This window comes from Homo sapiens, chromosome 4 (genome assembly GCF_000001405.40).
Source record: "Homo sapiens chromosome 4, GRCh38.p14 Primary Assembly".
NCBI classification, from domain to species: domain Eukaryota; kingdom Metazoa; phylum Chordata; class Mammalia; order Primates; family Hominidae; genus Homo; species Homo sapiens.
The window spans coordinates 76,162,453-76,183,839 of NC_000004.12; the positions used below are offsets into that span (position 1 = coordinate 76,162,453).

The 21,387-nt window shown below is 39.9% G+C and overlaps 1 protein-coding gene across 4 annotated transcripts in view, besides 1 other annotated feature; it reads right to left on the minus strand.

Annotated features, from left to right (window-relative positions):
* The window catches only part of SCARB2 (scavenger receptor class B member 2), a 75,796-nt gene that overhangs the window by 3,716 nt on the left and 50,693 nt on the right, over positions 1 to 21,387 (minus strand). For 3 of the 4 annotated variants that reach the window (XM_047416429.1, NM_005506.4, XM_047416430.1), the window contains exons 3-11: positions 18,502 to 18,649; positions 17,065 to 17,253; positions 13,985 to 14,076; positions 13,339 to 13,458; positions 11,692 to 11,861; positions 7,415 to 7,533; positions 5,951 to 6,024; positions 3,798 to 3,849; positions 773 to 931 (exon numbers count right to left, since the gene is read on the minus strand). In XM_047416429.1, the coding sequence (XP_047272385.1) occupies positions 773 to 931; positions 3,798 to 3,849; positions 5,951 to 6,024; positions 7,415 to 7,533; positions 11,692 to 11,861; positions 13,339 to 13,458; positions 13,985 to 14,076; positions 17,065 to 17,202 (924 nt within the window). In that variant the 5' untranslated portion in view covers positions 17,203 to 17,253; positions 18,502 to 18,649. The remainder of the gene's footprint in view (positions 1 to 772; positions 932 to 3,797; positions 3,850 to 5,950; positions 6,025 to 7,414; positions 7,534 to 11,691; positions 11,862 to 13,338; positions 13,459 to 13,984; positions 14,077 to 17,064; positions 17,254 to 18,501; positions 18,650 to 21,387) is intronic. The other variant, NM_001204255.2, reaches the window with a different exon arrangement.
* Positions 17,616 to 17,675: a silencer, noted in NCBI's record as "silent region_15485". NCBI's record gives its function as "represses an Ori minimal core promoter by ATAC-STARR-seq in GM12878 lymphoblastoid cells {active_cell/tissue: GM12878}" and the evidence as "EXISTENCE:reporter gene assay evidence [ECO:0000049][PMID:35858748]".

Genomic DNA, 21,387 nt, shown 5'->3' on the forward strand with positions numbered 1-21,387 from the left:
TCTACAGAAAAGGCTCATTGCAGGTATTCAGGTTCCTGGCTGGGCTGCTGGTCACTTGGAAAGGCGAACCCAACTCTTTATCCTAGCCTTCCAGGAAAGTAACTACACCCATGTTCCAATCATTTATTATGCAGTGATACCTAAATCATAGGTATCTTCGGATACATCAGGGATTCTTTCCAAGCAGGACCCTGGCTGTCTTGCTCTATAATCTTGGAGCTGTTTTATCATATTTAATAATACTTAAACCTTTATTGAGCTCTTACTATATGCTAACACTGGGCCAAGTCCTTTAAGTCTACTATATCATCTAATCCTCATGAAAAACTCATAAGGGAGGCTTTTATTATCCCATTTTACAGATGAAGAAACTGAAGCACAGTTTCTAGGGTCGTATAGCTGTTAAGTGGCAGAACTGGGATTTGAACTCAGGCAGTCTGACACCAAAGATCAGATGTGTAACTGTTATATATTCTTCCTTTTCTTTCAGGTTATTGTTTTCAAAGACATAAAGTTAACTCCCAGGGGATACATCCAAAGAGATTCTATTCCCCAAATATTAGATGGTACCTTCTAACCCTCCACCTTCTTTGACACACTTCCTTTGCTTCCCATTTGGTCCAGCAGTAAAATAAGCACGAAATCACTATGCCCAGCATAAAATCCCAGAATTTATCCTAATAAGCCAGCTGACAGCCCTTCAGTGAAGTACAGTTGAATTCCTCAGGTAAAGTTATCCAGTAAGGAAGAAGTTCCTTCAGCCAGTTCTCACCTCATCCATGGATCCCTGTCCTTTGCATGCAAGCCAGGTAAAAACCAAACCAAAGAACACACCCAGCGCCATGATGATGTAGGGTATGTTGGTGATGATCAAAGTAGTGTTAATCATAGACTTCAGTCGACTCGCCGTCTCTTTATCAATGTGAACACTCTGGAGAGGCAAGAAAATAGTATTCTTGATGACTAAACATCCAGTGTGTAACTGTTTTTTGCTATATCTTTCCTTTGTTTAATACAATTTGGGAATGTCCTCCTGTTAGCAAACCAAACATACTGAAAATCCATTTATAAGTCAGAGTAATCAGAAGGGACATTTATTCATTAATATCTTGTCTTCTCCTGAAGACATTTTTTTTACTCTTAAAATAGATTGGAAAAAGGAGGTAAAATGTATTCAGAAATATTGAGACAGTATCACCTTTTGTTTTATGTCAGATAATTCCAATTCATCCTTAAAAATCCAGCTCAGCATCACTTCCTTCCAAAAGTTTTCTCTGGCTACCTCAGGCCTAGTCAAAGGCCTCCTCCCTAAGTTTCCATCTCACTCTCTACTTCCATCATTGTCCTTGCACTCTGCATTGTAACTGTTTGTCTTGCAATGGCTGTGAAGTCCCTGAAGGCAAGACTTAACCTCAGTCACCTCCACACTGGGTATAGCACCCAGCACACAGTAGGTGCTTGATTAATGCTGGCTGATTAAATGAATAAATAAATGAAACACTGCAAAAATGGTATGTGGAAAGTATAATTTCTTTCTTGGTTACATCTATAGTAATCAGGACCACAGCCCTCTACAGAAAGTGCTCAGCAAAGTTGTGGGCTAACTAGAATTCCAGAGACTGCTGATAGAAGGAAATGTACTAGAATAACACTTAGTGTATGCAGAGCAGAGGAATTACCACCTAGTGTAATGAGTGAGGTATCTGAAGAGCTTAATTCCATAGAAATAATGAGCAACAATTCTGGCCTAGTTTAGGCTTAATTTGCACTGGAGGCCTGGCATAGTTGCACACGCCTATAATCCCAGCACTTTGGGAGGCCAAGGCAGGCGGATTGCTTGAGCTCAAAAGTTTGAGACCAGCCTGAGCAATGTGGTGAAACCACCTCTCTACAAAAAATACAAAAATTAGCTGGGGCTGGGCATGGTGGCTCATGACTGTAATCCCAGCACTTTGGGAGGCCGAGATGGGCAGATCACTTGAGGTCATGAGTTTCAACATGGTGAAACCTCATCTCTGCTAAAAATACAAAAATTAGCCAGGGGTGGTGGCGGGCGCCTGTAGTCCCAGCTACTTGGGAGGCCGAGGCACGAGAATTGCTTGAACCCAGGAGGCAGAGGTTGCCGTGAGCTGAGATTGGGCCACTGCACTCCAGCCTGGGCAACAGAGCAAGACTCCATCTCAGGAAAAAAAAAAAAAATTAGCCGGGCATGGTGGCACACACCTGTAGTTCCAGCTACTTGGAAGGCAGAGGTGGGAGGATCACTTGAGCCCGGGAAGTCGAGGCTGCAGTGAGCCAAAATCGCACCACTGTAGAGGGTGAGAGTGAGACCTTGTCTCAAAAAAAAAAAAAAAAGAAAAGAAAGCATTTTTTTTCATTGGACCGAGTCAGTGGATTGGGTTCTAAGACATTTTTTCCAATAACTGGATAGAGTTTCCTCCTCGGTAAAAAGGTGGTGTGGCAACAGTCTCCAATGTCACTTCCAGACTTCCAGGTCTAATATTTTATTTTTCTAGAGAAGAGAATAATCACGCTCTTCCTAGGAGGCAGCAAAAATACAAGGTTCCACTCCACACACCTGGACTTAATCTAGTCTTTCACAAAAAAGCAAATTAGAAGTTGGGGGTGGAGGGACTTCAAATATGCCACTACTGAACAGAAGTTGGCAGAAAAGGGCCCTTCTGCATTTTCAAAAAGATCTTTCATGCCCCTGCCCACAAACAGGAACATGGATGATCAGGAGCAATTGCAAAGAGATCCTATAAATTGGTAAATATTGCTTGAATTTTTCCTATGAAACGATAAAAACCTCATCTTAGAATTGTAATAACAAACCCTTAAAAGTTTGTAAATGTGAATACCAATATAATGCTAAATGGAGAAAAAAGATATAAAATTGTATCTATCGTATGATTTCAACTATGTAATATCAAGACCAGAAAATATCAGGAGTTGACATCTGAACTGCACCTGCCTCTGATAGAGAGGGACTTATCAGTAATTTACTTTTTAAATCAATTTTTAAAAAAATTTCTAAGAATTTTATAAAGAGCACATGTTTTATAAAATGTAAAACATTAGATTACCTTTTAAAGTTGTTATTGGAAAAAATTGTACAACACATTGAGTAAAATAAAATAAAAATATTATCAGGCTGACACAGATTTTGTGAATAGTGATTTTAATTTTTCTTTTTCTTGCTAATCTCTGTTATTCAATATTCTACAAACAGCAAGTATTTTTAGGAAACACAAAAATAATAAAAAGGAGAAGTTTGCCAATCAAGAATTTATTGAAGAAAAAAACCTGCGTTTTTTTTTTTTCCCTCAAACTGGGCGGAAGCAGGAGAAACTGAGGAGATATAACTACAGTAAACGTGATATGTGATTCAGAAAAGAATTTATCATAGGTGTCTTAAACCAGCATGGTTTCAAAGAAGGGGGAGACAAAGGGCTAGCTGGCATCTATCTGAGTGTGAGCTATTTCCCTGCTTCAACAATGTCTGCCAATGGCTCCTTTTACCTGTTTCTGTTTCCTACGTGAGCAGCTCCCCAGAAGGGAGTTTTGCCCAAATAGTGTTCTTGAGAAGGAAAATTTCTTTCCATCATTTCTCCAAATCAGCTCTCAGACACAGGCAGATTCATGTGAACATTTAAGTGAAATTTTCTGAGGAATAACAGGTTTTAAAAATCTTTTGCCCTTCTGTCATAACTTACATGTAACTACAACAGTAGACATCATAATGGATTTTTTCTGAGTCTGAAAACACCCGTGGCTCCCTCCGTCTCAGGACTTACCTCATTGAGGTACATCACTGGGAAAACCATGGTTCTAATGTCTCCCGTTTCACTACAAAGACAAAGGATGAGATTGTTTCAGAAACATCCTCATCACAATGGCACACTTTCCCGGACAGACACATTTATATGAAGATTCTAGTACACTTATTTCTTAAATTACCCAGAATTTGCTGATTTCTTAGTTATCTTTGCAAACATGTACCCCAAAAGTTAGATTCCAGTCTGTCTAGCAATTCCATGTGCTGTACGTTTATCAAAACACAAGATACTGAAGGCAGATTCCTTAAAATGATGACTAGTCTCCTTAGAGTCATCAGGGAAGGCTCCAGTCGACAGAACAAAACTGTCACTCCTCAGAGTGTTTTGTAACTAGGCCACTGAAGTACTGTCTTTGCAACAAGAGCCAACTGAGCATGTACCACGTGCCAGCTCTGTGCTGGGTGTTTTTGGGATATTATCTCATTCAATTCCTAGAGTAGTCACCTACAGTAGGTATTACTGTCCCAGGTTTACAGATGAGAAAATTATGACTCAGAGAGGCCTAGGATCACCACAAGTAAGTGATGGAGCCACAAATGTAATTCCACTTTGCTTCTAAGATTCCAGCTCTTAACTACTAAATTATACTGCCTCGGAAATAGATATGCAGATGACAAAATGCATTCTTGTAAACCACCTACTTCTTAGAAAGAGCCATGACACCTGGTATTAAATCTGGCAAATTCAATGAGGTAAACAAGCCAAGTTTTATAGATAAATATATTATGCATAGTTTTGCATCCTGTTTATTTCACTCAACATTATATCATAATTTTCTCATATCTAAAAAATTCCCATTGAAAAGTCTGAGCAGGAGATTATACTTTGGAATCCAAATTAAGCTGCAGCATGGGGAAGTAAGGCTAGACTCAAGAGATTATAACTATACAAATGAGAGCTATGGCTGGCCCCAAGTGGGATCAGTGGGAATAGAGAGAGAGGAAGAGGAAGAGACTCTGTCTCAAGTCTCTGAGTGATATAGTTTGGATACTTGTTCCCCCAAATCTCAGGGTGAAATGTAATCCCCAGTGTTGGAGGTGGGGCTTGGTAGGCAGTGACTGGATCATGGGGGTGGATTTCTCATGAATGGTTTAGCACCATTCGCTTGGTGCTGTCCTTGTGATAGTGAGTTATCATGAGATCTGTTATTTAAAAGTGTGTGGCACCTCCCCTCCTCTCTCTCTTGCTCCTGCTCACCCCATGTGACGTGCTTTATTCCTGCTTCTCCTTCTGCCATGAGCAAAAGCTCCCTGAGGCATCCCTAGAAACTGAGCAGATGCCAGCACCATGCTTCCTGTACAGCCTACAGAACTGTAAGCCAATTAAATCTCTTTATAAATTAACCAATCTCAGGTATTTCCTTTCCTTTCCCTCCCTCCCTCCCCCCCCCCGCTTTTTTTTTTTTTCCTGAGACACAGTCTTGCTCTGTCGCCAGACTGGAGTGCAGTGCCACCATCTTGGCTCACTGTGACCTCCGACTCCCTGGTTCAAGCGATTCTCTTGCCTCAGCCTCCCGAATAGCTGGGATTATAGGCACCCACCACCATGCCCAGCTAATTTTTGTATTTTTAGTAGAGACGAGGTTTCACCATGTTGGCCAGGATGGTCTTGATCTCCTGACCTTGTGATCCACCCACCTTGGCCTCCCAAAGTGCTGGATTACAGGCATGAGCCACTGTACCCAGCCAGGTATTTCTTTATAGCAACACAAGAACAGTCTAATACACCAAGAGAGTCAAGGTGCATGAGGGAAAGGCTTAGTGGAGTGGATAAAAGTTGACTAGATAGTAAGGCTTAGCCAAGTTACCTAAACACTCTGCTTCTGTTTCCTCATCTGTAAAATGGGGATAATACAAGGTTATATGTGAATCCACATAAGGTGCTGAGAACAATACCTGATCCATGGGAAGTACTCTGTAAGTGTATGATTAAATAAAACAAGTAAATTCCAAGACCAAGGCACCCATGAAAATGCTGATCATGCCCCATCCCTGAAGGGCAGGGGTGAGCAGGCTTAGATGAAGTAGGCTGTACTCCTCCTGACATCAACCCCACCAGACGGGCAATGGAGCAAAACTGCTGTCCCCTCCATAGAAAGAAGCAAAACTTACACAAAGTCATCTAATTTTTTGACATAAATGTTGATTTGGAACCTCTTGGCTGCTTTTAGGATTATTCCAGTCAACTGCAAATCAGAGAAGTGAAAAGGAAACATTAGGATTTATTAAACTGCAAACAACTTTTTCAATAGAGCACCATTTCTGTGTAGTCCTCATAAACAAGGTGACCATTACCATGTGTGACAGGCAGAGTGGAAACAAGTAAAAGTGATCCCCAGAACAGAATGAGAACCATGGGTTGTATTAGGTGGCTGATAGACCAGTGTGTCTCAAACATGAGTATGAATGTAGGTCCTTGGGAATCCTGTTAAAATGCAGGCTCTGATTCAGTAGACTGGCCATTTCTAACAAGCTCCCAGGATGCTGCCACTCTGAATAGCACAGCCTTAGAAGGGATCCAACAGGAAGGAGGCCTAAAAGATAGCCTGTCAGGTCTGGATTTCCAGGCAGTTGTCCAGAGAGCTAAGAAGAGGGTGGTGGTCACTGCCAGAGAGTGGCATCCTAGTATAGGGCCCGCCTAGCGTAGCCATGGGGCACAGCTGCAGCACTTGTCATCCTTAGGGCAGCTCCATCTTTGCACTAAGGTTATAAGACTGTGTTCGTCCCTTGGTGACAAGCACTGCTAACAGTTTGGCTGATCCAAGGGAACTGATCAGCTGATGGCTAAGAGAAAAGGGAGAAAACCACACACGATTTTATTCACCAGAGCATAAGATCACTGGTTTCTCAGATACAAATGCAATGTATGCAGCTAAGAGTGTGAAGTACCCATAAAATACTGTGCTAAAAGAATGTTCTTGTTTTTTTTTTTTATTGGTCCATAATGTTCAAATTCCAAAAATGAAGACATGGTTAGCATGGTTTTTGTTTTTCTCGTCTATGAATACAGGAGTAAATGTGTATTATACACACACACACACACACACACACGTGTGTATGTCTCCTCTATGTATATCTGATACCTTTACAATTAATAATATAATAAACTCTCAAATAACCTGTAGAAAGAAGTTTGCCAAAAGTGACTGAGGTTAATATACATATTCATATTTCAACCAAAATATTCCTGGCAGTGAGGAAGCAAAGGGACATCTTTAACCTTATCGATCTGTGTCCCAAGGGGAGAAATAAATATATGTTGAGGTCCAAGGCTAGCATCAGAAGATTGACCAGGTTATATGGGTACATCAGTAGTTTCCAATAACTGAGTTTTCACTGTTGCTTTTTGTTAAAGGCAGGTTTGCTCGTATTTCTGCTATTCAATCCACAAAATTCAGCCTTCTAATTACAGGGCTATGAGACAATGCCTCCATCAGCACTGAGCTGAATTTCTCCCACTTGAATATGTATATGAAAGTAAGGATATTTTTAAAGAAGGCTCAGGACTAAACTGGTGAACAATGTATAGACAGAATAAAACATATGCTCTTTTACCAGGAGGAAGTATGTACTCACAGGATTAATGTCCACAAATGTCTCATGGTCTTCCTGATTTGGGTGCATGCCTTCTATGGCAGAAACAAACCTCTCATCTGCTTGGTAAAAGTGTGGGAAAGACATAATGATGGGTGCACCTGCATTTGAAGGAAAACAGAAATGAATGATGCTGTTTTTAAAATCTAAGCTGAGCTGAATATAAAAGTTCCTGGCCACAGCCTGGTTCCTAAAGAAAAACAAAAAAGCTACATATAAATTAACTTGGGTAGGCTAAAACACCATCCTTTACCTCCTAGTTCAGGATTTATACTTCATTTTCTGACATCTCATTTACCCCCAATTTTTTATTCCACATTATATATTGAAGTTCAGGCTAAATTATTTATTCTTCAACAAATATTTACTGAAGTTAAAGTATAAGTGCTTCATACACATTATTTTATTTAATGCTCCCAACAGCCCAGTAAAGTCAGAACTATTAGCCTCACTTTGCATTTGAAGAAAGTGAGGTTCATAGAAGTTACAAAATTTACCCAGGGACAGCTAGCCATCAGGCTATGAAGGCAGAATACTAAGTGAATGAAGGGTGTTGTACCTCAAAGCACTAGTTTCAACTACAATTCTCTATCAGTAAGTGGACTGACTTTTTATTTCTTGTCCTTTTTAAAATTAAAAAAAAATTTTTGGTGGTTTTTTGTTTTGTTTTGTTTTGTTTTTACCAAAGACAGGCATAATCTCAGCTCACTGCAGCCTCCGCCTCCCAGGTTCAAGCAATTCTCCTGCCTCAGCCTCCCAAGTAGCTGGGACTACAGGCATGCACCACCACACCCGGATAATTTTTTTGTATTTTTAGTAGAGACAGCGTTTCACCATGTTGGCAAGGCTGGTCTTGAACTCCTTACCTCAAGTGATCTGCCCGCCTCAGCCTCCCAAAGTGCTGAGATTACAGGCTTGAGCCACCACACCTGGCCTACATAATTTTTTAAGAGTTAGCCTGGTTGTGCTATACACCCAGCCTCTAACCAGATCACAAAGATTCTGGGGTTTTTCCTTTCCTATTCATTTTAAGAACCAAATAAGTGCTTATGTAAATTTAAATATATATATATATATATATATATATAACCAAATAGGGAAACAAGTTACTAAAGGAAACCTATTCTAGATCTGGCTATTGAAAAGAAGAGAGGGACCCAACAATTGCTGCCAGGGAAATACATTTTTGGAGAAAGGAGCTTGTCGGCAAGTTATTTAAATTTGCTTACATATTCACCAGCCCATGGCTTAAGGAACTCATCCCTCATCTCTCACATGCACATGCATTTTGCTGTTTACTGCTGAATAGTTCCACAAAGGCATGACTTCCTTCTTTGTGACCTATAATGACCTTGAAAATGTATTTTTTAAATCTGTTGAGGGCTTAATAGGGGCTACTGTCCTGAGTGTTTTATATATATTATTTCTAACTCTCACACAACCTCAAGAAGCTATAACCACCTCCATTTTATTAATGAGAAAACTGATGTCTGGAACCCTCCTTAATAAACTTTGGCCAATTTACCAACAAATAGAATAGGACTCAAACCCAATCTGCCTGACTCCAGAACACTCATCCTGCTATCCAAAATGTTTCCCTGGAGAATTCAAAACACTGGAGGATAATCCTGGGGAGTTTCACTTCAGTCCAAATTCGGGAATACGTTAAGAGGGAAGAGGAAAAGGATTGTAGCAAGAAGTTTAAATGTGTAAAGTAGAATACTTCTGTTGATTCTGGCATCAGCTTCTTAAGGAAACAGAATTTAATAAAAACAGCAAGAGAAAATATATCTACATTTTTGCTTTGAGCCAGATGCACACCAGATGAGGGGGCAGGGACACTGTTTCAGGACTATTACCAGTAAGGCAATGGGGGAGATCACAACCAGGAACTTGTTCCCATTCACCCTTGGTCTTTATCTCCAGGTAAAGGGTACCATGTTCCCTTGCACAATGGTCCCCAAATACCTAGACGCCATCTTTATGGAAATCAGCTGGAGTACTTGTTAAAAGTGTAGATTCTGGGGCCCTGGTATATCCAACATGGGACCCTGGGACATACATGCATGTGTGTGCACCATGAGTGTGTGTGCACACTTGCGCACGTGTGTGTGTATACCTATATATATATACTATATACATATATATTAAAATATAGCAAATATAAGTATATGCAAATATATGCATATTTATATATAACTATAAAATTTGTTAATATACTCATATATTAACAAATATATTAACATATACATACATAAATATATACATGTGGCTGTTAAAACTAGTCTTCAAGATGAAAAATACTTTTGTCAGTTGTATATATATATGTATATATACACATATATATGATATACGTATATATAAACAATTTTTTATATATATATAATTTTTTTGTTTTTTGAGACCAGGTCTCACTCTGTTGCCCAGGCTGGAGTGCAGTGTTGCAATCATAGCTCACTGCAGCCTTGAATTCCTACGCTCCAGCCTCAGCCTCCTGGGTATCTGGAACTATAGGTGTATGCTACTATGCCCAGCTAATTTTTAAATTTTTTGTTCAGATGGGGTCTCCCTGTTGCCCATGCAGGTCTAAATTCTTGGCCTCAAGTGAGCCTCCTGCTTCAGCCTCCTAAAGTGTTAGGATTACAGGCATGATCCACCATGCCTCACCAATATATTTTTAATAACTCTCCAGATAATTCTGATGTAAAGCCAGGTGTGGGGGTCACTGCCCTGTCAGACAAGGATCAGGAGGTATACTGCTGACTTCAGACTTATTCCAAAATGATATCTTATTCTTTTTTTTTTTTTCTTTTTTAAAAGATGGAGTCTCGCTATGTTGCCCAGGCTAGAATCAAACTGGGCTCAAACGACCCTTCCACCATAGCCTCCTGAGTAGCTGGGTCTACAGGCACACGCCACCATGCCAGGCCTGAAAGGAGATTTTAAAATGAGATAGATAAGGGAGCAAAAGTGAGCACATTACTATTCAGGAGAAAGGGACTACACAGAGAGCTCTCCAGAGAAATTTTAAAGAGGAATTACAGCCCAAGAGGGAATCACAGGGCAAATATGAGAAGACCCTGAGTTCCGCCAGGGATCTGCTCAGAGGGAGGAGTCGCATCAAAATCACGTTCCCTCTCTGAGCCCTAGTTTCCCCAATTATAAAAACAGGCCGCTGAATGTCTACTATCTAGTAAGTTCATTGTGAATAATTCTGCAACATGTGGCTGTTAAAACTACTCTTCAAGATGAAGAAAATAGTTTTGTCAGTTGTGCCACTGATAATTCTGCCTCATTCATGGAAAGGAGCAGAGTAGCTCTGACATTAAGAAACACTGGGACATTTGTGTCAGGGTTTAAAACTAACTCTGCTTCAAAATCACTGAGAATCTTTGCCATGATACGTACTTTCTTAAAACTGAGTTGTCCACTTTTTCTTTTAGCTTTTTTTTTTTTTTGGTGGGGAGGTGCGGAATCACTCTATTGCCCAGGCTGGAGTGCAGCAGCACAATCATAGCACAGTGCAACCTCGAACTCCTGGGTTCAAGCAATCTCTCTGCCTCAGCCTCCTGAGCAGCTGTAACTACAGGTGTGTGCCGCCACACCCAGCTAATTTTTTAATTTTTTTTTTTTTGTAGAGACAGGGTCTTGCTATGTTGCCCAGGCTGATCTTGAACCCCTGGCCTCAAGCAATCCTCACATCTCGGCCTCTCAAAGTGCTGGGAATACAAGCATGAGCCACCGTGCCCAGCCTTAGCATTGTTTTGAACATGAAATCAGTTAATGTTTTGCATGCATTAACTACATGTAAATATGTAAAGCACTTAGGACAGTGACTGGCATACATCAGGTGCTTAGTAAACATGAGCTATTATTACTGTTAAGACTTCTAAACCACTGTCCAGAAAAAAAAACACAACATGGCATTCTAGAAATAAAAAGCATCACAGAAAAGCCATGATTTTTTTTTACCATTCAATAGCCATGTTATGAAACATTGTTCTTGAAAGAAACTGATCTTTCTATTGGGCTGACAATATATTCTTTTTTGTTTGTTTTGTTTTTTAGAGACAGTGGTCTCGCCATGTTGCCCAGGATGGACTTGAGAACTCCTGGGCTCAAGTGATCATCCCACCTCAGCATCCTTAGTAGCTGGGACTGTAGGTGTGCGCCACTACGCCCAGCTACATATTCTTTGTTGAACTCCAATCCTTCTGCATTCTTGACACCCCTATCATGTCCCCTCTCTGAGTTCTTACCATTCTTGCAGATGCTGACATTCAGAACTCCTGAGCCCAGGCAGTTTCCCTCAGGTATACAGAAGCCGGCATTGTCTGACGTATTGGCTAATATTTCTGCAGGAACTTTATACCGAAAGGCAGGCAGTCCCTGTACACTCTCATAGTCACTGAAAGTAATATACACTGACCTGTTAGGATGTAAGAATAAAAAGTGAATGTGGACTCTGGTCAGTGTAATCTGCCCGAAATCCGCAAGTTAGCAACAGTTCTCAGGTACAACATGGCCAAAAGCTCACAGGGTAAGTAGAAAGGAATGTTTGGAAGGCATTCTGTCAACTCAACGTGTAATAAAGCAGAAGATGAATTGTAGTGGAAGGTGTTTATTGTAGCAACGGTGATATCATCCAAACAAGAAAAAACAATATGTGGTACAAAATTAAGATGATAACATTTAGAATGGAGACTCACATAAAAAAGAAATAAGAGGCCTCTCTAGACCTGCATGGACATATGCCAGTGTGGACGGGCCACCGGCAAAGCCAGGGAAGCCAGGGCACGGCAGAGCCAAAGCTAAGGTAGAACAGGCAGCGATGGCCGTGGCCTCGTAGGGTCTTAGGCACTTGAAAAGTGTCACATTGGACAGATACTTTATTGGAATACACACTTTGATACTCAATCCCCCCCTCCAAGAAAAATCAGATTCCATATTTTGCCCCAGTCATTTATTTAAATGGAGTTCAACGTAATTCTGCCTTTCATTCTTACTGATTTCAAACATAGTCCCATGTAATATGACCACTGCTTACACTGCATAGTGCCTAACCACTTTGATGTACACAGTCACCACTGAGCCTTCAGCCCTTCCTTTGAAGGCTGGCCGGAAGAGCCTTCTGGGCCTCACTTTTTCATCTCTGAACCAGAGCTGTTGATACATCTCTCGCAAGGTTGTGAATAACATAGGTGGTTTCACTGCACAAACCAAACCACCCCTACAGCATTTTTTAATGAAAAATTTTAGGCACCAGAAAGAGATAAAATACTCTAACAAATACCTTTGTATCTGCCACTTAGACAAATAAAAATTATATTATGGATATAACTGAACCTGTCTACGTAATGCTCTTGATTCCATTCCTTCTCTGCCTCCCCTGAGGAAACCACTCTGCTGAAATATGGACAACAGTATCTTTTATTTGGCTTCCATGTAGAGACTACCTATTGACTGGAAGTAGACCAGGTCAGTTGATGCTTGACAGAGCATATCATAGTAACTAAGAGCCAACACTTAATATTGGTTACTGTGTGATGGGCCCTGGGCTAAGTATTTGACTAATACTAACTCATTTGTCCTCATAACAACCTCTAACATAGTTAACAATTTCTATCTTTGTTTTACAAATAAGGAAAGTGAGGTACAGAGTGGTTAAGTAATTTGCCCAAGGTCACACAGCTATAAGTGGTAGAGCCAAGATTCAAACCAACAGTCAGAAGTCTGTGCTGTGAACCAGTACACTATACTGTCTCGATGTGCCATCAGCATTTATCACTGATTATGCATAAATATCCATGCATAATAAGTGTGTCTGCATATATTCCTCATGCTTTTGGTGGTCTTGCAGTGAAAGACCTTATTTTTGAAAAAGAACTTATCTTTAAAGCTTTTACCTGCAAAAGTCAGATGGGAAGACATAAAGGACCTCATCTTTGGTTATTAGTGGGTGAAAAGAATCTCCATCTGTTCCATTAATCATATTGCACTTGTCTGTTATCCACCAGTCAAGTGACCTATAATTGATAAGCACAAGAAAGAGTAAAGATGATCACATTTGAGTTTAGATTCTCTTAAATGGTCAGGACTTTGCAAGATTTAACTGGAGCTGTCTATCCACAGTATCTTATTCATACACAGACACAACAGTTTTAATTAGATCAAGGGGGAGAAAAAGTAGGTCCCTGGCCCAAATCAGCTTTCATAGAGGCAATGGCCAAATAGCCCAAAACATGTGGTGGTTTGAAAAGTATTTGTGCTGTAGCTACTACACATCACTCAATGACTACTAAGCAAGAGTGGGACTTTTCACTGGCCTGTAATTCATGCCTGGCCATGATAAATCTACAAATCACTAATATTTAATCTGTAAGATGTTTTACCACCATCTTGATTTGTAGAATAATAATTACAAGACTATTTACATGTTTTTATATTTTTCATCCAAAAAAGGCTAAACACATTTTTAAGCAATGTAGAAGTAGACATGTAGTTTAAATGAAAACTGAAAAAATAATTCCACTGATAAATCATTTGACTTACGTTTTCCCATTCCATTCCACAATTTTTGTAAAGTTAAGGTAACTGTCTTCTCCAGTTAGAAAAACATAGTCTCCATCATTAGTCCCATTTTTCTGAAAATATGTGAATATGATCATTTAAAGTAACTGTGATAATTTTATGACAACTTGGCTAGACTATGGTGCCCAGTTGTTTGGTCAAACACTAGCCCAGATGGTGTGGTGAAGGTATTTTGTAGGTGTGATTAATATCTACAATCCGTTAACTTTAAGGGAGGTTACCCTCAATAATGAGTGGCTGGGCCCCCTCCAATCTGTTCAAAGCCTTACAAGCAAAAACAGAGGTTTCTTAGAGGAGGAATTCTCCTCAAGACTGCAACATCGAAATTCTGCCTGGATTTCCAGGTTGCAGCCCACCCTACAGATTTCAAACTCAAGACCACATCATCAACTTTTACCTGAGTTTCCAGCTGCTGGCCTGCTCTATGGATTTCAGACTTACCAGCTCCCATAATCACATAAGCCAATTCCATAATATAAATTTCTTTCTCTCCCTCTTTCTCATCTCTACATATACACCCTCTTGATTCAGTTTCTCTGGCAACCCTAACTGATACAGTAACTAAAAAATTTAATCTTCATCTAACTGTCCTACTAGGGCCTAACTGCTACACAAGACTGAACCAGGACCAGAAAATAGTGACTATTTTGCTAAATACTATATTAACCATATTATTATTTTATGGTTTTAAAAAGTAGGAGCTCAATTTTAAAATGGGCAAAGGATTTGAAGAGACATTTCTGAAAAGAAAATATACTAATGGCCAGAGAGCACATAAAAACATGTTCAGCATCATTAGTCATTAGGGAAATGCAAATCAAAACCACAATGAGATACCACTTCACACCCACTAGGAGGGCAATTAAAAAAAAAAAAAAGAAAAATAGTAAGCGTTGGTGAGGATGTGGAGAAATTGGAACCTTTATACATTGCTAGCAGGAATATAAAAATGTTGCAGTCACTGCAGAAAACAGTTTGTCAGTTCTTAACAAAGTTAAACAGAATTCATAGGACTCCAAAATTCCACACCTATGTATATACTCAAGAGAATTCCACTTCAAGGTATATACCCAATGTTCATATAAAAGCTTGTATGAACAAATATTCATAGCAGCACTTCTAATAATAGCCAAGAAGGAACACAACCCAAATGTCCATCAACTGATAAATGGATAAGCAAAATGTGGTATATCTACACAACGGAATATTCCTCAGTTATAAAAAGGAATGGAACACTGATACATGCTACAACATGGATGAACCCTGACAACATTACACTAAATTTAAAAAGCAGACACAGAAGGGCATATATTATATGACTCCATTTATATGAGATGTCCAGAATATGCAAATTCACAGAGCCAGAAAGTAGATTAGTGGTTGCCAGGGCCTGGGAGAGTAAGACAGGAATAGGAGTGACTGCTAAGAGAGTATGCAGTTTCTTTTTTGGGATAATGAAAATGTTCTGGAATTAGCAGTAATGGTTGCACAACCTTGTGACTATACTAAGGACTACTGAATTGTACATTTTAAAATGGTAAATGTTATAGTAAGTGAATTATTTCTCAATAATAACAAATTTAAAAGCCTAAGTCCAGGACCAGGACCAATTATACCAGAATAGCTACACTGGAAGAAGACGGTATTAATATAGCCCTATTTTCAATTAAGGTTTCTTCAATTGTATATTCTCTCCAAGTTATACTTCTTAAGGGCACATACAGACACTACATTCCTAAAATTCTTTATTTGGGCATGTAGCTATGATTTCTCAGAAATAGCACAGGTAGTAGCTCCTCTATAATAATAGGAGTGAACAATTGTTGAGTATAATATTCCTGGCTCTGTTCTAAAATTTTTGCATGAATCATCTCATGAAATCCTCACAACCACATAAGATAGTGTGGCTATCAGTCTGGTGAATTCAATGATGTAAAAACAAAAAAAGTGAGTTATATAATGCAAATTATCTGAGAAACAGTGAGATATTAGCAACAAGATCTACTTGGCTGATGGATTGAAGCCACTGGGAACAAAAGGGCCTCGAGGGAACCTTTGCATAATATCTCTCAGTAGGAGGCTCTCCTGAAATTATTTCTAGAAGGGAGGTTCAGTCAGGGCTTGACAGGAAATCTGTGCTTCCTCTGGTCCTGTGAAGCTGTATTCCTCTGAGACAGGACCCTCTAGGGAACTCCTGCCTGGTCTGCTTCTCCCGAATGATGCATTCAGAGTTGGTGAGGCCCTACTTTTAGGACTCCTGTCTCTCACACATATAATTTTTTAAAACTTGCTCACAATTCTATTTTAACAATTTCTACGTTTTATATAACCTTGAAGGCCCAGGGACACAATTATTGCTGTTTGCCATAAAAACTGGAATGCTACAGGATTACATGAAGAGGGTAAGACTCTTGAACAGGCAGAGCCAGAAAACAGCTACAAATTTAAAGCTGAGGAGACCCATCACAATCCCAGAGCACACCCCTAATCTAATCCTCTTCCTGGGGTTATTTTATCTTTTACCAACTTCCCAACTATCCACTGCACTCCAGGGTTTTTGTTTTTGTTTTTGTTTTTGTTTTTTTTTTGGCTTTTTTAGACAGAGTCTTGCTCTGTCACCCTGGCTGGAGTACAGTGGTGTAATTTCAGCTCACTGCAACCTCTGCCTCCTGGGTTCATGCAACTTACCTGCCTCAGTCTCCTGAGTAGGTGAGATTACAGGTGTACATCACCACAGCTGGCTAATTTTTGTATTTTTAGTAGAGATAGAGTTTTGCCATGTTGGCCAGGCTGGTCTCAAAGTCTTAACCTCAAATGATCCACCCACCTCGGTCTCCCAAAGTCCTGGAATTACAGGCATTAGCCACCGCACCCGGCCTCAAGTTTTTTTTCTTTCCAAAAAACACTCCATTTTTCACACACTCTATAAGATAACTTAACTCTAGGCAATTTCTAGAAGAAACTCAAAGTTAATCTGGCTTGGGGTGCCCCAACCCACTGTCAGCTAAAAAAAGAGGTTCTGAAAAGAAAAATCTACTTACCTCATAGAATAGGCCAAAATAGGGAGAGATATCGGGCCTGAAAACATGGATAAGGGACAAGATTTCATCTTTGTAGCCCCAGAGCAATTCGTCAACTGTGTGAGTCACAAAGAGCTTCTGCTGATAGGCTTTCAACATGGCCTCGATGATCTCCCTGAGGAAGTGCACCTGGGACCACTCTATGACAGTCTGCGGAGCAGAGGTATATTAAGACAGCAGCATCCCCTCCAAAGCACCTCCATCCACTCTCTCCTACTACCCCATAGCAAAGGGGGTTGGAAATATAAATGTAAAGGTTGAGATTAAATAGCTGAAAAATCAGGCAGTGAGCTCCTTTCTGGCTGCATATGGAAGACAAAGCCTCTTCTCTGTCCTTTCCCAGTACTGCATTTTGTAAGTGTAATATTTACAAAGAGACCATTTGCAGGCTCTGAGTTATCCAGACACCACAAAAGGGGAAAAGCTCTTGTAAACATGTGGGCATCTTTGGCCACAAGGTGGCGCTACCTTCCGCCTAAGCAGGGCCAGAGGCTCATTATAAACCCGACCTACACCCCTGGGACTAGGTGGCAGGGACCTCATACTGTCTAGGTCCTGGGTCCATCATCAGTGTCCAGCTGCATATGGAGCGGTCACCTAGGGGTTAGGGTGGGAGAGTCGGCAGGGGTTGGTGTAGGTGAATTAGAATGTTTACTGGGCCAGCCCAGGAACAGTGGTTCACGCCTGGAGTCCCTGGCCGACACAGGAGGATCCCTGGAGCCCAGGAGGTAGAAGCTTCAGTGAGCTGTGATGGAGCCACTGACTGCACTCCAGCCTGGGCGACAGAGCAAGACCCTGTCTCAAAAAAAATTAATAATAAATAAATTAATTTAATTTAAAAAAAAAGAAAGTCTCATGGGTCTCAGTATAGAATAGATGTAGAATAGGTGTCGTTATTAGGTAGAATTACCATTATAAACAGAGCCCACTGAAATCACAGTAGGCTGCCAGTCTATTGATTTCTGGTGTCAATTTATGAATTTTGAGAGTATAAAATCCAACATAAAAATCTGAAGTAAGAAATGGTATACAAATTTCATTGCTAGAATTTCTGAATGAAAACAAGGGGCAAATAAACATTTTTAAAATTATTAGCTACCAAAAAATCCTAGGGGCATATTTATTTGCACAATTGCTAATCCTGAACACCCAGGAAGAAATTATGAAAACAAATCCTAAAATCTGAATTTTGTCATCATTTGAAAAGACCTTATTTGATACATCTTAGAAAAAAGTCCAAGATGTACTTTAAAGAAAAGAAAAGAAGTATTTTTCTTTTTATATATGTATATTTCAACATAACTTAATGGCTCCTAAATGTAAAATCATAAAGAGCATTAACTTAGCTTTTTCCTTTCTTCCAAAATCCAACTTAATGGTATTAAAATGCCTACTTACCAATACAGGAATATTTAATGTTCTAATTAAGTCAATTTTAGGGTCTCCAACAGATTGGTCTCGTTCAAAAACATAGGCCTTGTTGCTAACAGCAGATATTGTTGTTCCATTATCTCCAAATTGAATATTTGCTTTGTTTCTGAGTTCCCTAAAAGAAAGAAAAGGGTTTTATTTGAAAATAGACACCACTTTAATAAGCAAGACTTTTCCTTTCTTTCAGCATCCAAGTTATATTTTCAATATAACATTCCCAATATAACATTATATAGAGACTGCAGCTACTAAGCCTTAAAAAGCTGGAGATCGAAGCTATAATGTGGGAAGGAAACGAGGCCTAGGATAGAGTCTTCTCAAAAACTTTGTTTTCCTTCTTTTCTTCCCTGATTAGGGAGGTGCAATAGTTGAGGGTCACCTTGACCGGGAATCAAAGCCGATGAACTCTCTCCTGGGTTATGGTTTGGTCCTGAAGTATTTTCAAAATTTTCAGTTTGGTTCACAGATTTAGTTTGAATTTCAATTTGTTTACCAATGTCTTCTTGTTTCTACATTGAATTAAATTGAAATTTTATTTTAAAAAATAATGCCCAAGGCTTAGTAAATTACAGGAGTTCACTCCTGTTTCTTTTTTTGAGATAGGGTCTCGCTCTGTTGCCCAGGCTGGAGTGCAGTGGCATGACTACAGCTCACTGCAGCCTCAGCCTCCTGGGCTCAAACAATCCTCCCACCTCAGCCTCCCAAGTAGCTAGAAGTACAGAAGCATGCCACCACACCCAGCTAATTGTTTTATTTTTTTGTAGAGATGAGGTCTTACTATGCTACCCAGGCTGGTCTTGAACTCCTGGACTCAAGTGATCCTCCTGCCTCGACCTTCCAAAATGCTGGCATTACAGGCATGAGCTACCACACCCGGTCTCTGTTTCTGATATACAGCACAGTTTGGTTCAAGTTAGAGCCCCCAAATGAAGCATTAGAAAGTTCTTAGAAAGCGCCTGGTGCCAGGGCTGGGCCTAGAGTCAGTGTGAGTGATGTAAGAGGTGCCTAAACAAGTAGTAATCAAGATAAATAGTTTAATGCACTATTTATTAAAACCAAAATTTATGCCAAAAATTTATGATGAACAAAATTTTAAATAAAAACAGAATCTGATCTTTTGTTCATCAAATGCCTCACACTAGCCCTAGCCCTAGCCCTGCCTGGTACATAGTAGGTGTTCAATAAATTCCAGTGACTTTTGTTTCTTTCCCTTTGCTTATCTTTCCTTCTTCCTAAACCAGCTAGGGTTATTATGTCTGACATGGTAGCCACTAGTCACATGTGACTACTGAGTACTTAAACTGTGGCTAACTGGAATTGAGATTTGCTGTAAGTGTAAAATATATACAGAATTTCAAAAACAGTGCCAACCTTTTTTTATATTGATTATATATTGAAATGATGCTATTTCAGTTATAATGGGTAAAATTAAAATATATTATCAAAATTAATTTTACCTGCTTCCTTCTACTTTTTAAAAAATGTGGCTACTAGAAAATCTTAAAATCTTAAATTACACATGTGGTTCATGTAATATTTCTATTGAACAGAGCTAATTTAAGAGCACAGGTTAGGAAGGCATTGGCCAGCTGGGCTACCCACACCTCCTCTGAGGCCTTTCCCAACCATAGCAGCACAGGGATTTTTCTCACCCACCTGTGGATGTCCGTACATGTCTTTAGCATTCAATTAGAAACTTCTGAGTGACATCATTTAGATTGTGAAATTATCATGTAGCCTCAGGTAGACTGCAAGCAAGCTGAAGGCTGAAACTGGTACGTAAAAATGCGCCTCGGTGATGATGGAGTTATGTCCCAGTAAACCCATCATAAGTTGAAAACATCGTAAGTTGAAAGTTTGTTTTTGATTCAACAACTTAGTATCTTTCCAATTTACAATGGGTTTATCTGGATGTAACTCTATCGTCATTGGAGGGGCATGCCAAATACATCACTTTCACACAATCGCGAAGTCAAAACATCATTCAAGTTGAACCATCATAAGTCAAGGACTGTCTGTATATTGTATCTCTTTATACCTCTTAAATCCCTTCTAGACTTTAAAATAAAAACAGATGAGAAAATAAATGCATTCATATAGATGCATACAAATAGATGAGTCTTTGTATCTTCTCCAGTAGAAAAAACAAACCATTTTTTTCTGTGCTCTCATACTGTAACAACTTACACAGAAGACTTCTAAGACTTCTGAGACTTCTGGTCACCAAGAAGTGTGTGGCGTTTTCTCTGCACCAATAATTCTGCAGTGTCCTCCAATTCAATTCAATTCTGATACTTTCTACTTGGACATAGCATCAGATTCTACAGGTTGAGACTGCCTTCCACCTCCTATGCCAATCAAAAGCCCCAGGCTGTTTTACCTGTGCTTCTGAACTAATGGCTATAAATTGGGGTTCCCATCCCCCTGTGCTTGGGCTCAATTAATTTGCTAGAACAGCCCAGAGTACTCAGGGAAACACTTACATTTTATTATAAAGGATATTACAAAGTATACAGATGAAGAGATGCACTGGGCAAGGTGTAGGGGAAGGAGCTCAGAACTTCCATGCCCTCTGCAGGCTCGCTACTCTCCAGGAACCTCCCCATGTTTGGTTCTCTGGAAACTCTCCAAATTCAGTCCTTTTGGTTTTTTATGGAAGCTACATTACATAGGCATGATTGATTAAATCACTGGCCATTTGTGATCAACCCAACTTTCAGCCCCTCTCCCCTCCTGGGAGGTTGGGGGGTGGGGCTGAAAGTCCCAACCCTCTAATCCTGTCCTCTTCTTTCAGGACCAGCTCCCATCCAGGAGCCATAGAGGCTGCCAGTCATCAGTCAATTCACTAGCATA